This window comes from Homo sapiens, chromosome 4, assembly GCF_000001405.40.
Source record: "Homo sapiens chromosome 4, GRCh38.p14 Primary Assembly".
NCBI classification, from domain to species: domain Eukaryota; kingdom Metazoa; phylum Chordata; class Mammalia; order Primates; family Hominidae; genus Homo; species Homo sapiens.
In genome coordinates, this window is record NC_000004.12 from 106732623 (window position 1) to 106747701 (window position 15079).

The 15079-nt window shown below is 34.0% G+C and overlaps 1 long non-coding RNA gene across 2 annotated transcripts in view; it reads left to right on the forward strand.

Annotated features, from left to right (window-relative positions):
• The window catches only part of LOC105377356 (uncharacterized), a 288441-nt gene that overhangs the window by 206780 nt on the left and 66582 nt on the right, over positions 1 to 15079 (forward strand). The window lies entirely within an intron of this gene.

Here is a 15079-nt window from a genome sequence, read left to right on the forward strand (position 1 = left end):
GAAGACTGACTGGTCAGGGGTTAAAAATCAAGACAGCATAATTCTATTACAGTAAAATAATTAGTAGGATATAGTTGAAACAACTATAAAGTCAGTGAGCAGAGAAAATACTTCCTGTAACATGAAAATTTATCTCCTATAAAATGATAAAAGGTCCACTGACAAGCATGTCAAAGCTCAGCCCAGAAAGTCAGGTAAATGAGACAAGATGCTATAAAGTTAACTCCCAACTAGGGACAAGCCTAGTCAGCCATACCGGTTCTGAGGAACTCGGGAAAAGCCGAATTTTTCTACTGCCAAGTTTCCAGACGGATTTTCTCATGGCTTGTATGTGTCCAGTTGAGAAGAGTAGGGAGAAATTGTTTTTATCATTTGATAGGTTTCACTAGTTTTCTTGTTTTACATCTGCTTCTAGTGACATAAATGTAAATCAGTATAGTCCACTGCTAATAACCTTCCTCTTCCACATTCCTAGAAATTTTAGCAAATTGAATCATATTTTCCCACTAATTCACATTATAATTCTAAATATATCTCAATCTCTTTACCTAGCTTCAATTTACAATGGAGTCCAAGGCCATGCCGTTTAAATTCTCCTCTTTTAATTTGTCCATGCCTTAAAAATACATTCCCATGTACTAGGATAAGTATGGTAGAAGAATGTTTTCTTAAGGTGATAAAGATTTTTGCCACACAAATTATCACGGTCTAAATAATTGTAGGATTACATTTTAATACAGTGGTTTTGCTTTTTTTTCCATACTTGTGTACAATGATAAGGAAAATTTAATATGGGTAGGGATGAGAGATGAAAAAAATCAAAACTTCACAAACTAATTTCTTTGAGACTTATGGTACTTTTGGTTCCCAAAAAAAGAACAGAATGACCTGTAATCAAATCTTGTCACATCAAGCTTTCAAATGTGCAGTGATGAAAAGGCAGAAAAATGTGGTCTTTCAAAGATTCTAGTGTGCTATTTCAAAATAGAAACAGTAGCAATACTTTAAAAATTCCAGTAAAGGAGAGAAGTGTCATTAGAACAATGAGAGGAAATAGTTTTAACCAAGTATTACATTTTCCTGACTTTCAGAATAAATTTTAGTTTAGTAGTTCAGATTCACACTCTCTCTACCTCATTGATTATTCTTGGCTGAAATACAATAAAACACAAATATTGTTAATATACTTGCCTCCAGTTACCATCTCCCTGTCCAAGAACTTATTATTATTAATATAATTATTCTGTTAATACCAGATCCACTGTATCTGGAAAGTAATAAATTTCATGTATGTTATTTCTCAAGGTTAGTATCAACTATATTTTTGAGAAAGCAAAATATGACAAAATATTATACTATATATGTCATATGTTATTCACCTAATATATATGTAAAATAATGTTGTAATAATATTTTGATAAGACACAAGAATCAAAGCTCTGGTTCAAATCACCATTCCAATTCTTACTATGGAATTGTAAGCAGTTAACTTATCTAAGCCTCAATTTCCTCAACTATATTTAGAATTTACACCATCTTTTGTAACTTTGTTGGTGTATGATGTACATGAGGCATTTTTTACTTTATATATGGTAGCTATTGTTATGAGTTATGCATTTAAGCAAAACACATGAAAGAAAAAATACATATCACAGAACTAAAACAGTACTTCGGGGAGTATTTGTGTAGCTCTGAAGATCATAACATTAACTTTGACAAAAAAAAAAAAAAAACTGTTGCAAATGCACAAATTGCCAAATTTTAACTTTTCCGCTGAGCAAATCTGAGTAATTTATTAGTAGAGAAGAAAAAAAAACACTAAACAATATTCTGCTGCGGTAATGCTCTTCTCACCTAACATTTATGTGACATGAAAAGATCCTCTGAACTTATAAACCATTAGTATGTTTTGGAGACTTATTAGAAGATTTTCTTCAGATTAAAGTTCTATGAAAAATTCCTTCTAGAATATGCCCAGTGAATACTGGTGCCCTCTCCTGCAAAATATGTGGATTGAGTCATTTTGAAGATCCCCTGAGATCTTTCATGACTTTCCCCCCATGTTGAGGGCACCTCTCTAAATAGAACACTGAAATTAGTAGAAGGAAGATGAAAAAGAGAGACTAAACCTAGTGGTTTCCTTTGTCTGAGGCCTGTCTAAAGGGCTCTAAGGATAGCTGTGAAAGATTCTCTATTACTGTGGCAAAGACTGCCCCCTGAATAATTCGCTAGGCTCATTACAGTGGAATACTTCAGCATTCACCAAAATCAACGAAAATGAAACTTATTGTAAGAAAGTTTTTAAAGACAGATTCAGTTATCTTTCAAGGTATTAACAAAATCACCTGCCCAATGAATCATGGTTATATGCTGTTTTTCAGAATGTGATGTTGAATAATTTTAAAATGCTGTAATGCTAAAAAGGAGAGCAAGGACCCAGGTGGTCAGAGTGAGTGGCTATCTCTTAAAATTAACAGATGCCACATTTGAATAATCAAGATATTAAAAATAGTCATTTTGTTGATGCATTTATGTATTTTATTTACTGTTTTCTATCTCAATTCTGCAAGTCTTAGAATTTTTGAATTCCTTTCGTAGCTGTTACACATGTATTAAGTAAAAATAAAATGTGATATTGTTGTTTATATTCTCAATGAATGTATATATTATACTGAAAATAGCTTTAAAACATTTTGAAATATCTAAGTATTTACATATTTGTATAAATAAGCTTACAGGCAAATATTTCTATTTCTAGACTCCAATACTTTAAAAATTGGCTTATAATTATGGCTGTTCATATTAAATATCTTTCAGTACTCTGGTTTAGAAACAGAGCTAAATTCACATAAGAGGTGTATACATCATATTAAAGTGAAATTTCTTTGAAGTCCACTTCCTTTTTGCTCACATGGCCTTACCAACCTACAAATGGATCAGGAAGTCCAGTCCTTCCACACACACAGAATAGAATTAGAGATGTTTAGGTAAATAGCAGCAGTAGCTGCCATTGATGGGCTGCATCTCCATTCAAATATTCCATATGTATGCACCTAGTAAACAAGGAAAGAAATGGCAGCTCCAGATATGTCAATCAGATACCTGTATCATAGGGCTGACTGCCCCTACCTTTCTTGCCTATCATAAAAAAACAGATTCACAATCCCAGCACTTTGGGAGACCGAGGCAGGCAGATGAGGTCAAGAGATTGAGACCATCCTGGCCAATATGGTGAAACCCCATCTCTACTAAAAATACAAAAATTAGCTAGGTGTGGTGGTGAGGGCCTGTAGTCCCAGCTACTCAGGAGGCTGAGGCAGGAGAATCGCTTGAACCCGGGAGGCAGAGGTTGCTGTGAGCCAAGATCGCGCCGCTGCACTCTGCACTCCAGCATGGAGACAGAGCGAGACTCCGTCTAAAAAAAAAAAAAAAAAAAGAAACAGATTCACACTCAATAGTAGAATACTAGATAGACTCAAAAAGGACAGTTTGAGTGTCCTTTTTGAGGGATGTCATTGAAAAGGAAAAGAAAATAATGAAGTTCATGATTGGTGGTAGATTTTATTCACTTTTAACTTTTCTAACAACAGGGCATTTTCATTAGTGAGTTTCCCCCAAATATTTTGATTTAATCTACATAAAATGCATAGTTTTTGCAGAAACACCATGACTATATAAATGCATTACTTTACCAAAGTTCCATTAGCCGCAAGATACTAACATCCTAGCTTCTTTCATAGGCCATGCTGATTGAATCCAGGTTTTCTTTCTTGACAATGCTTACTATGAACATTTTGTGATTAAATATCATGTTTGATATAAGGGTACTTTTCATTTGCCAATATAAAAATGAACTTGGATAGCATTTTTAAGGTACTAAATGATGTCAGTCATAAGCCTTCTCATTAAAAAACAAACAAAAATCCTTATGTAAGCTTTTCATAAGTTCCTTTGATTTTTTTAAAGGAAGATAGTATGAGTTGATAAATACTTAACAGTTGGTAAATCCTTAATATTTATACCTAAGGATTTCAGAATTATAGATGGGAAGAATGAAAGAATATGGTGGCAGAGGTCAAATGTCTTATTTTCATCTTGGAATTTTTAGTTCAGAAATCTAACTTTCTTCAAGAGAATAAAAAAGAATAAAGAATTACCTATCTTCAGAAATTTAAAAGGTGATTAGCTTGAGGGTTTCTGTCCCCTTGCTCTCCCATCAGATTTTCATGCAGGTCAGCAGAAGGACAATTTGATTAGTGTTGATTAGCTCTTTGAATCCCATGCTTTTGGTTAATTTGCTTCGTTACTTATGGCTTTGCTACTTATCTTACAAAAAAAACCTTAAAGTTAAGTGGATTTAATGGGATAGAATACAAGCAATAAAGTAAAGCAGTTTGGTCTTTCTCTACTACTTTATCCTGCTTCTTTTTTTACAAAACAAAGAATGTCTGACATTTTGCCACATATATTTGCTTTTTTACATTTTTGTTGTCTCTCTCCCCCAAGCAAATAAGCTCTGCATGAGCATGGCCTATCTTTTACACCATTGTTATCTGCAGTGTCTAGAACAGTGTCTGGCACATTGCACGTACTCAATAAATACGCAAAGAATGGCATAAAGAGGTGATGAACTGATTAACCCATACTCTTTACCTGACCAGTAATTTAGAATCCATAGTGAATGTATATTTTATATTATCAGAATGGAGATGACAAAAATAGACATGTGGAATTATGTTAAATTAAAAAGCTTCTGTACAGTAAAGAAAGCAATCAATAGAGTGAAAAAGCGATCTATAGAATGGAAGAAGATATTTCTAAACTGTATATTTGATAAGAGATTAATTTCCAAAATATATAAAGAACTCCCACAACTCAGTAGTAAAAGACATGAACAATCCAATTAAAAATGGGCTAAGGACTTGAATGAATATTTCTCCAAAGAAAACATACAAACAGCTGACATGTATATGAAACAAATGCCCAACATCATTAATCATTAGAGTAATGCAAATCAAAACCACAATATCACCTCACATCTTGCAGGATGGCTGTTATATATAAAAAGAAAAGACAAATGATGAGGATATGGAAAAATTCGAGCCCTTGCACACTGTTGGTGGGAATGCAAAATGGTGCAACTGCTGTGGAAAACAGTATGGAGGTTCCTCAAAATTAAAATATGTGTATGATCCAGAAATTCCATTTCTGAGTACCTATTCAAAAGAATTGAAATTAGGATCTTGAACAGATACTAGAATAGATACATAGGAGTCTATGTTCGTTGTAGCATTATTCATGATAATCAAGATGTGAAAACAACTTAAATGTATACTAACAAATAAATGGATTAAAAGTGTGTTATATAACACAGTGGAATATGATTTAACCCTAAAAAAGAAGAAATCCTGTAGTATATGATAACGTAGATACACCTGAAAGACATTATGCTAAATGAAATAAGACAGTCACAGAAAGACAAATACTTCCACTTATATGAGGTATCTGAAATAGTCAGATTCATGGAAACAAAGAATAGAATTGTGGTCACCAGGAGCTGTCAGGAGAGGGAAAGAGGGAGTTCCTTATCAACGGGCATACAATTTCAGTTACACAAGATAAATGAATTCCAGAGATTTACTGTGCAACATTATGCCTACAGATAACAATACTCACACGCACTTAAACATCTGTTAAACGGGTAGATCTCATTTTAAACGTTCTTACCACAATTTAAAAAAAAAAAAAGAATGAAGGAGACAAGAGGAAGTAGCATACAGAATAAAAGCCTAATGGAAATCTTTGAGGTTTAAAGAGACACAGGTTTGCATAGCACCATGTGTTTGAGTCTACCATTTAGCAGCAAAACGATCATAGGATAATTCCAGTGCTGATACAGGTTGAATTTTTTAGCTGAATTTCAAACTATGCTTTATTAAAGTCTTTCTGAATGTCAGAAAAGTTCTATTCTGTTCCTGCTGCTTAATATAAGTGGACTCCCATGAGCTTCAGAAAGAATGGAAAGGGAAAAAAAATCAATTAATTATCTGGGGACTGTTTCTTAAGCTATCAGATGATTGAGGATGCATAAGACATCTGGTCATTAGAACCTGTATAATAGTTGCATGATTGATTTAGAGGAGAGTTAATACTCTAGTGACTGTGGAAGAGATGATACTTATTTTCAACTTTTACTAACATTTTAGTAGCGATGATTAACCAAAATTATACTAGCAGGTGTTAGTAAGTGCATTTCTGGAAGTGAAGTATTTTGAGGGTGTGGGTTGGGGGAGAACTTTAGTAAAATATGCTGCTTTATGTTTTGGAATTTTGAAATCTTAATTCTATACAGTTTCGTGATTATTATCAATAAATATATGGTAAAGATACTTAAAACAATAAGTACGTAGTGTTCCCATAATTAAAAATAACATTTCAGTAACAATAATAAACTTACTGCTGTGTTCATTATCAAGGTTGCCTCCTGTTCACTACCATTTCAAATTGAGTTCTGACTGAATAGTTGAGTTAAAAGCATTAGATGTTTGAGTTCCTTGTTATGGTAGAAACATTGTTATTTTCAGAATTAGCTATTTTTTGTTAATTATGCATTATTATCATTGTTACATAAAATTTTATAATTTTATAGCTCTTGGAATTAATGATGTTTTTTCTTTTGCTTAAACAGTTATATCTGTAGAGACAAGAAATGGATTCATCCCTTTTAAAATGTTCTTTTAGAAAAATATATCCATTATGATTAATCTTTGAAGATTTATAAACAAGAGGAAAATTGAATATCTATTTAGGAAAAATATCCAGGGTTTTTAGTTAGTGTGTCTTTTTCTAAGTTATTAGAATATTGGAATCCATTTTAAGAGACTTCTCATTTGTATTTACTTTTCTTGATTGCTTCCAAAAATTAGGTGTTAGTTGAGTCACCTATGCTGTTTAATAACTTCCTTCCTATGAAATGTACTTCCTGAGTGTCATGATATGTCATGTGAAGCAATTTCCCTTGTTTCCTAATTTGTGGATTATACTTTCCAGTTTGAATATTTTTCCCCACATGAACAGTTTGTCTCTGCACTTTACCAACCACCTTTGTTACTAATAAATGAAAGTGATGGTAATAGTGAGACCTGCATCAAGATATAGTCAATGAGAAAAACTAAACTACTAAGACCTTTTTCTTCTTCATTGGTGAGCTATCTGATTCTAACTTTGAGGTAGGTTTGGGTCCAGGGTACCTCATGTGTGATTGCCATAGGTGAGCAACTTTTGACTGGAACAGACTGAAAGAGTAAAAAATACTGTACTTTTCCTCAAAGAGTTTCAGGCATCTATGAAGTCAATTGCATTCAATAAGTTGCTGAATACAAAACTGATCTTTTCTCCCAGAGGCTATAGTCTGGTTGAGGAAACAAATATAAAATGCATATGGCAAAGGTGACAATTTTATAGGAGTAAAACGAAGTCTTAAGAGGGTTGAGAAAGAGAGACAAATTGTGATGAAATGAACTTGTGAAGGCCTTATTGAGAAGGGTACATTTGAATTTTGACTTGAAATCTGACTAGGACTTTTCAGGTAGATGTAAATGTTAGGATGCCTTCAAAGGTATTTGGGGAAGGATTCTAATGTCCAGAGTCCTGTTGTGCCAGAGTTAGGAAATACGTGGCTCTCAAGACTGAATTTTATCTGGTTAAGGGAGCCACCCTCTGAGAAGCTTCTGACATTTCACTTCTTACCAAGATAATTTGTGGTCTATATAATCCTGAATATTTGTTGACATCCAATAATGTGATAATGCTGGACCTAGGAAGAAACTGAAGTTCCAAGATTTCTAGTAACACTTGGATTCCTTCCTGCATGCTCAAAAATTTAAGGTGACATAAGCTCAAAGAAGAAAGCCAGAGGAGAAATTCTAGGGCAAAAGCAAAGTTATTTTTTCAGATAAGAACCTCTTTGCTGCCTTCTGTATCACCCTCATCTATGTTTGGGTATGATATGAGTGAGTAAATTAATTAGGTTTTTCTGGAAGATGGAGGAATTGAGAGGAACTTGGGAAATTACATATTTGTCGGAGCTATTAAACTCTGTCTTTTGAATAAGGATTTGAATGGATCAGGGCTTTACTTTGTGCCATGAGCTGTATAAGGTATTAATAAATTCCTCTAAGGTTTTGCCTTTGACCATGAGTAACATCTGCTATAGTTTCATTTTCTCCACTCAGCAACTAGGAGCTTGCTGGAGAAAAGTTACTAAACTCAGAGCCATCCAATTGCTTTTATATCAAACTACTATTCTTTTTTTTTCTTTGAAATAAATTAACTGTATTACTTGCGCTTAATAGAACACTTATGGCCTCAGAAAGAACTAGAGTTTGAATTAACAGACACTTGCTTTTTTTTTATTATATACTTAAATTCTGGGATACATGTGCAGAACGTGCAGGTTTGTTACATAGGTGTACATGTGCCATGGTGGTTTGCTGCACCCATCCACCCATCACCTACATTAGGTATTTCACCTAATGCTGTCCCTCCCCTAGCCCTGCAGTCCCCCAACAGGTCGTGGTGTGTGATGTTCCCCTCCCTGTGTCCATGTGTTCTCATTGTTCAGCTCCCACTTATGAGTGAGAACATGCAGTGTTTGGTTTTCTGTTCTGGTGTTAGTTTGCTGAGAATGATGGTTTCCAGCTTCATCCATGGCCCTGAAAAGGACATGAACTCATCCTTTTTTATGGCTGCATAGTATTCCATAGTGTATATGTGCCACATTTTCTTTATCCAGTCTATCATTGATGGACATTTGGGTTGGTTCCAAGTCTTTGCTATTGTGAATAGTGCCACAGTAAACATACGTGTGCATATGTCTTTATAGTAGAATGATTTATGATCCTTTGGGGATATGCCAGTAATGGGATTGTTGAGTCAAATGGTATTTCTAGTTCTAGATCCTTGAGGAATCGCCACACTGTCTTCCACAATGGTTGAACTAATTTACACTCCTACCAACTGTATGAAAGCGTTCCTATTTCTCCACATCCTCTCCAGCATCTGTTGTTTCCTGACTTTTTAATGATTTCCATTCTAGCTGGTGTGAAATGGTATCTCATTGTGGTTTTGATTTGCATTTCTCTAATGACCAGTGATGATGAGCTTTCTTTCATATGTTTGTTGGTTGCATAAATGTCTTCTTTTGAGTAGCATCTGTTCATGTCCTTCATCGACTTTTTGATGGGGTTGTTTGTTTTTTTCTTATAAATTTGTTTAAGTTCCTTGTAGATTCTGGATATTAGCCCTTTGTCTGATGGACAGATTAGATTACAAAATTTTTCTCCCATTCTGTAGGTTGCCTGTTCACTCTGATGATAGTTTCTTTTGCTTTGCAGAAGCTCTTTAGTTAAATTAGATCCCATTTGCCAATTTTGACTTTTGTTCCCCTTGCTTTTGGTGTTTTAGACATGAAGTCTTTGCCCATGCCTGTGCCCTGAATGGTATTGCCTAGGCTTTCTTCTAGGGTTTTTATGGTTTTAGGTCTTACATTTAAGTCTTTAATCCATCTTGAGCTAATTTTTTATGAGGTGTAAGGAAGGGGTCCTGTTTCAGTTTTCTGCATATGGCTAGCCAGTTTTTTCTGCATATGGCTAGCTTTTGTTCTTAAGCTAGTTTGGTGGGTACTTATTTCACCTTCCTTTAGGAATATTTTTTTCTACCCAAGATGGAAATTTTATCACAACCAATACAAGTTGCCTTTGGAACCCCTCCCCACCCTTATATTTAGTAAGTTAAACTATCCTTTAAAAAAAAAACTAATTATTCCACTCTCTGCAGCAAATAGGTTCTCTGCATCTAATGCATTGGGGAATACTACCTATAGTCACTCACTTGCAGAAAGCTGGAAGATCATTACCGTGTGAGTAGAAAGAAGTAGCAATTACTTTTACTTATTATGGCATTGGTCACCAGCCAGGTGACAAAAAACCTTGAAGTTGGCAAGTAAAATGCAATAGGTGGTGAGGAGAGTGTATTATGAATTTCTGTCATATTGTTCATCTTAATGCACTCAAAATTTTAACATTGTATTTTGTAAATCCTCAAAATATGTCTGTGGACCAAAATCTGAGGTACTTAACCATTCTAATGATAAATGTGAGCTCTTTGGGTGTCTGAGTGTTAAATGAGATAATCTACTAGAAAGTGCTTAAAACAGTGCCTGGAAAGTAGCAAACACTCTATAATGTTATCTATTATTATTAAATTGAAATCCTTTCTTTGATCATTGGAAATATAATTTTTATAATGCATTTTATTTTCTTATGAACTGGAATATTTTATTGATATCTGTCAATTCTTGAGCAGACACTCATTCAATAGTATTTACTAAGCAGCTACTACATGCCAGACATTGTCCTAGGAATTTAAAGTTTAGTGGCAAACATGGTAAGTAAAGTTCTTTTCTTCATACCACTTAGTCAAATAGTAACAATAGACACTTAAAATATTTATAATAAATATTGGTAAAAACTATGGTACTAGTTGCTATGTGAAGACATTTTAGGGCACTTACCTAATTGAGAGACAAGTCAGGTATTATGGAAGAGTTCATTTTTTTGGTGATTCTTGATGGTATTGTGTCTTGGGGTCAGGTGTCAGTTCCCTGTTTCCCTGTTTTCAGGCTAATTATTCTATACTTTTATCCTGAAAGAATCAAATATCTGTCCTCACTGGAGATTTTCTAGACTTACATTTGTTTTTCCTAATTAGTATATCTCTGCAAGCATTACCTTATATGAACTTACTAAATACTGATGCATGTAGTAATACAACACATACATTTCTGACTTCACTAAATAACTCCTATATCTAAAAGCACCTGGCTGTATAGTATTTAAAAATGATATATCAAAGGCTCAGATGCATAATTGGGTCACAAAATGCAGTATCTGTGTAGATCTGGTGACCAATATAAACAGTGCTAATTTTCTCACAGCCATAGATTTGGAAACTGAAGATATAAACACGAGGCAAGTTCTTCTCACTATTAAACCTTTTGCCAGATTCAGAAAAAGTTTTGACTTGTAGGAGAAGAATAATCTCCGTCGGTTTTTAGTTGGAATGGACCCCTGTTACAAAAGGCAGATAGAAAAACAAACAGAAGTTTATAAATGTACATTTCATACACACATGGGGGACACCCAGGGAATGAGTAGTTCTCAAAGAGGTGGCTTTGAATTCCAGTTTATACAGCACCTTCAACAAAGAACAGTAAATTTTTAGAAAAGTGACACAGCAAAGAAGATGGACTCTGAGTCTCCAGGGTTGTCAACTTGTGGAAAAGCAAATACATGACAGATAATGTCTAGTTAGTAAAGCTTACTAAAGTAGATTCCTGTGGTACCATCTTCAGGTTGATAAGAGTTCAAAGCTGTCTTCAGTGGTTAACCTTTGTTCTCCATGGTAGAAGCGGGGACAGGATACCTTTTGTCTTTGTAAATCTGTGTCCTGCTTTGTGGCAAATACAGGGAGGTCAGACAGCTTTCTTGTATCTGCTCCTCCACAATTCTTCATATTTTGGGGTGGCATATTCTGGTCTCCCACAGTACCCATTTGTGAGACTCTTGATCTAATAGACTAGAAGTTTTAGTATTGTCTTAGTCAATTTTCTGTTACTTATAATAGAATACCTAAAACTGGCTGATTTATAAAGAAAAGAAATTTATTTCTTGCAGTTATAGAGGCTGAGAAGTCCAAGGGCAAAAAGCCATATCTGCTGAAAATCTTCTTGCTATTGGGGACTCTCTGAAGATCTGATTATCTAGGAGAAATAAGGGTCAGGGAAAATGGATGGAATGCCAGGAATTCTTTGGGATGACTTCTTTTAGGAATCAATTTTAATCATTTGACTTGTAATGATAAAGGTTCCTGGAAGACACTTCAAAGGTGTCAGGTCTTCTATATTTTTAAGAAATAAACACCTGTAGACATACCCAAATTATTGAACTTGTGGTTTACGATTTCTAGTTATATTTTTCATAATTTTTCTATAAATATAGCATTAATACTCACTAGATAGATTTTTTATGTTTTTAAACCTCATCTAAAATAGATAATATCTTGTACATCTTTAGGTAATATGTTTATTTTGTTCAACATTATAATTTTGGTATTTATATGGGTAAAGTTATCTCTATTTCATTCATTTTAACTACTGCATATTGTTCCATTGTATGAATATGTCATAATTTGTCCTTCCTCTTTTGATGAACAATTTAGATTATTTACAGTTTTTATTTCTATATTATTATAGTCAACATTATAGTGAACATTCTGTGCATGTCTTTTGTACACATAATTTTTTATATACCTAAAAGCAGAATTTCTAGGTTTTAGGGAAAATATGTCTTTAGTTTTATTAGATAGTAGTTCTCTAATAAGGTTGTATAAAATATATAATTACAAAACAGTGTGTAAGCCTTAATATTGTAAGACTTTTCTGATGTGTACAAAGCTTGTTCTCAGTTTTGTTTTACTTTGCATTTTCCCAATTAATGTGAGATTATTTAGGAGATTTATTGGATTTTTGTGTGTGTGTGTGAATTGTCCTTTAAAATCCTTAAAGCTTAATTTTTTTGGTTACCAATACTCACAAATGTTCCCATGGCAAAAGATGGGTCAGTGCCAATGTATCACTTTGTTTGTTTTTAGCCTCCTCTTTGTGATTTTCAGTCTACATTCCCAGATTGAAATTTTCTTATTTTCTTTTTTTAATCAAAATTTAAAATTTATATTTTTGTCACATAAAACAGTAAAACCCTAATATTTTACAAGTTTAATTTATTTTTAGGGACTTCATGATTAATTAACCACCACCAGAGATTTATACAGTTCAGACTATTCTGATCACCACTAGCTATTATAGTTATCTCAGCCACTTTCCTTCTGGTATTGTCCTCTGGACTCTACCTATACAGGGTATTTTCATTCCCACTAAGATTATGGAGCCTGTTTTAACTCTATTATCTTTCACACTCTTCCTAAGCTTCAGAACAGTCAACAAAGTAACTTTTATGGATACTGACACTTCTTGTACCAATGCATGCAAAAGATAGGTTTTTAACCCTCTTTAGGGACAAAATTAAAGAGAAAAGAGGGAATATACATGATTGGTGATAACAGTTTGGCTCTGTGTCCCCACCCAAATCTCATCTCGAATTGTAACCCCCAGGTGTAGAGGGATGGGGGTGATTGGATCATTGGGGCCATCTCCCACATGCTAGTCTCATGATAGTGAGTGAGTTCTCAGGAGATCTGATTGTTCTATAAGCCTCTAACATTTGCCTGGCTTGAAATTTTATCTCCTGCCACCGTGTGAAGAAGATCTTGCTTCCCATTTGTTTTCCACCATGATTATAAGTTTCCTGAGGTCTCAACAGCCACACTGAGCTGTGTGTCAATTAAACCTCTCTTTCCTTTATTAATTACCCTGTCTCAGATATTTCTTTATAGCAGTATAAAACAGACTAATACAATTGGTAAAAGCAAAACTCCATTTTTATTATTTTTAAATTCCTCTGAATTCTGGCCTCTATGCCATAGGATTTCTGGCATGTCACATTTCTTTAGAGAATTTCAATGTTCAGTCTAGGTTCATTAAAAAATACTAATAAAGTTTAGGAACATACTTGGTGTTTCAGAAGACATATGGTAGGTATATTTTTTTGAAAGTACATGGATTTTGAGAAATTCAGACCAATCTAAATTTTACTTTGCCTTCCTTGGTGATGTACTCTTAAAGGCCAAAATAACAGATTTATAACAGTATAAACCAGCAAATTCTTGCCATTCTTTTGGTTTGTTGGTCTTCTCTATACAAGTTTGGTTTTACATATACACCCAGGCATTCTTGAGTCTGGTTCTAGTTACTGGTTTAATGACAATGATTTAAGGCAGAAAAGGAATAATTACCACATATAAGGGAGACTCCTCAGGCAAGGAAACAGCAGCTTTTTTTTTTCTTTTTTTTTTTAAAGCCAGGGAAGAAGAGCAACTTCCAAATAATAAAAATAATTTCTTTCTTAGGCAATGACAGTGTAGAGTGCTTCATAGGAGATGATGCAGTGAGTCATTCCTTCCTGTTTCTTTTCCCCTTTTAAGAGTACTGTTTTTGTGATCATTGCCTTATGGCCACAAATAAAAAGCAAAGAGTTAGGCTATATGTGCTAAACTACAGAATCAGTTGAATTCTTACTTTTTCATGAGCATCAGTTCATATTTTAATTTGATAGTTTGGGGTTTTAAGCCTGTCATTCTTTCGCAATGTCATAGAAATCAGCCACCCTACCAGAGGGATACTCACATTTCTTGTGCTCTTCAAAATATTTTATGGTGCCCACAACTTTTTCCTTCTGAAACTTGCTCTCAGTAAGACTTTGTTCTAGATCATAATAAGTAAATATTTAATTGGCTATTTTGTTATAAGACTCCAAATTTTCTATCCTGGAATCATATATGCACATATTAATGGAAAGTATTTCTCTTCTACCCCATGTCAACAGCACAGTCCCAAACAGTCTACAATTCCCTAGATATTATCAGTTCTCATTTTTGTACCAATATCTGTATCAATTCAGATCTTTGCAAGCAAGTGAAACTGATTTTGGCTAACTTAATAAGTGAATTTGAATTTGCTGAAAACCTAAGGGAGTTATAGAATTATTGAAAAGGTTAGAGAGCAAGGTTTGAAAATTAATTGTAATCAAGGCATTTTGGGGACCCAAGAATCACAAATTCCAGGAAGAGATCTATAACAACATGGACTGGGTGTTGCCACTTTGTATGAGCAATGGTATTTCTTCTATCCTTGCATAACCATTTCAATATTTAAATCTCCAGAAGATAGAATCCAATTATGGAAGTATAGATCATTTACTAGGGAGTAAGAAAGAAATTTGTGGTTCTATTTGAAATGGGAAATGGAGTTTGGATGATCAAAACTAACAAGTTACCTTCTACACATGGGAAGTTATAAGCCAATGTAGCTTTTGAAAATATACATAATATTTTGTTTGTGTGT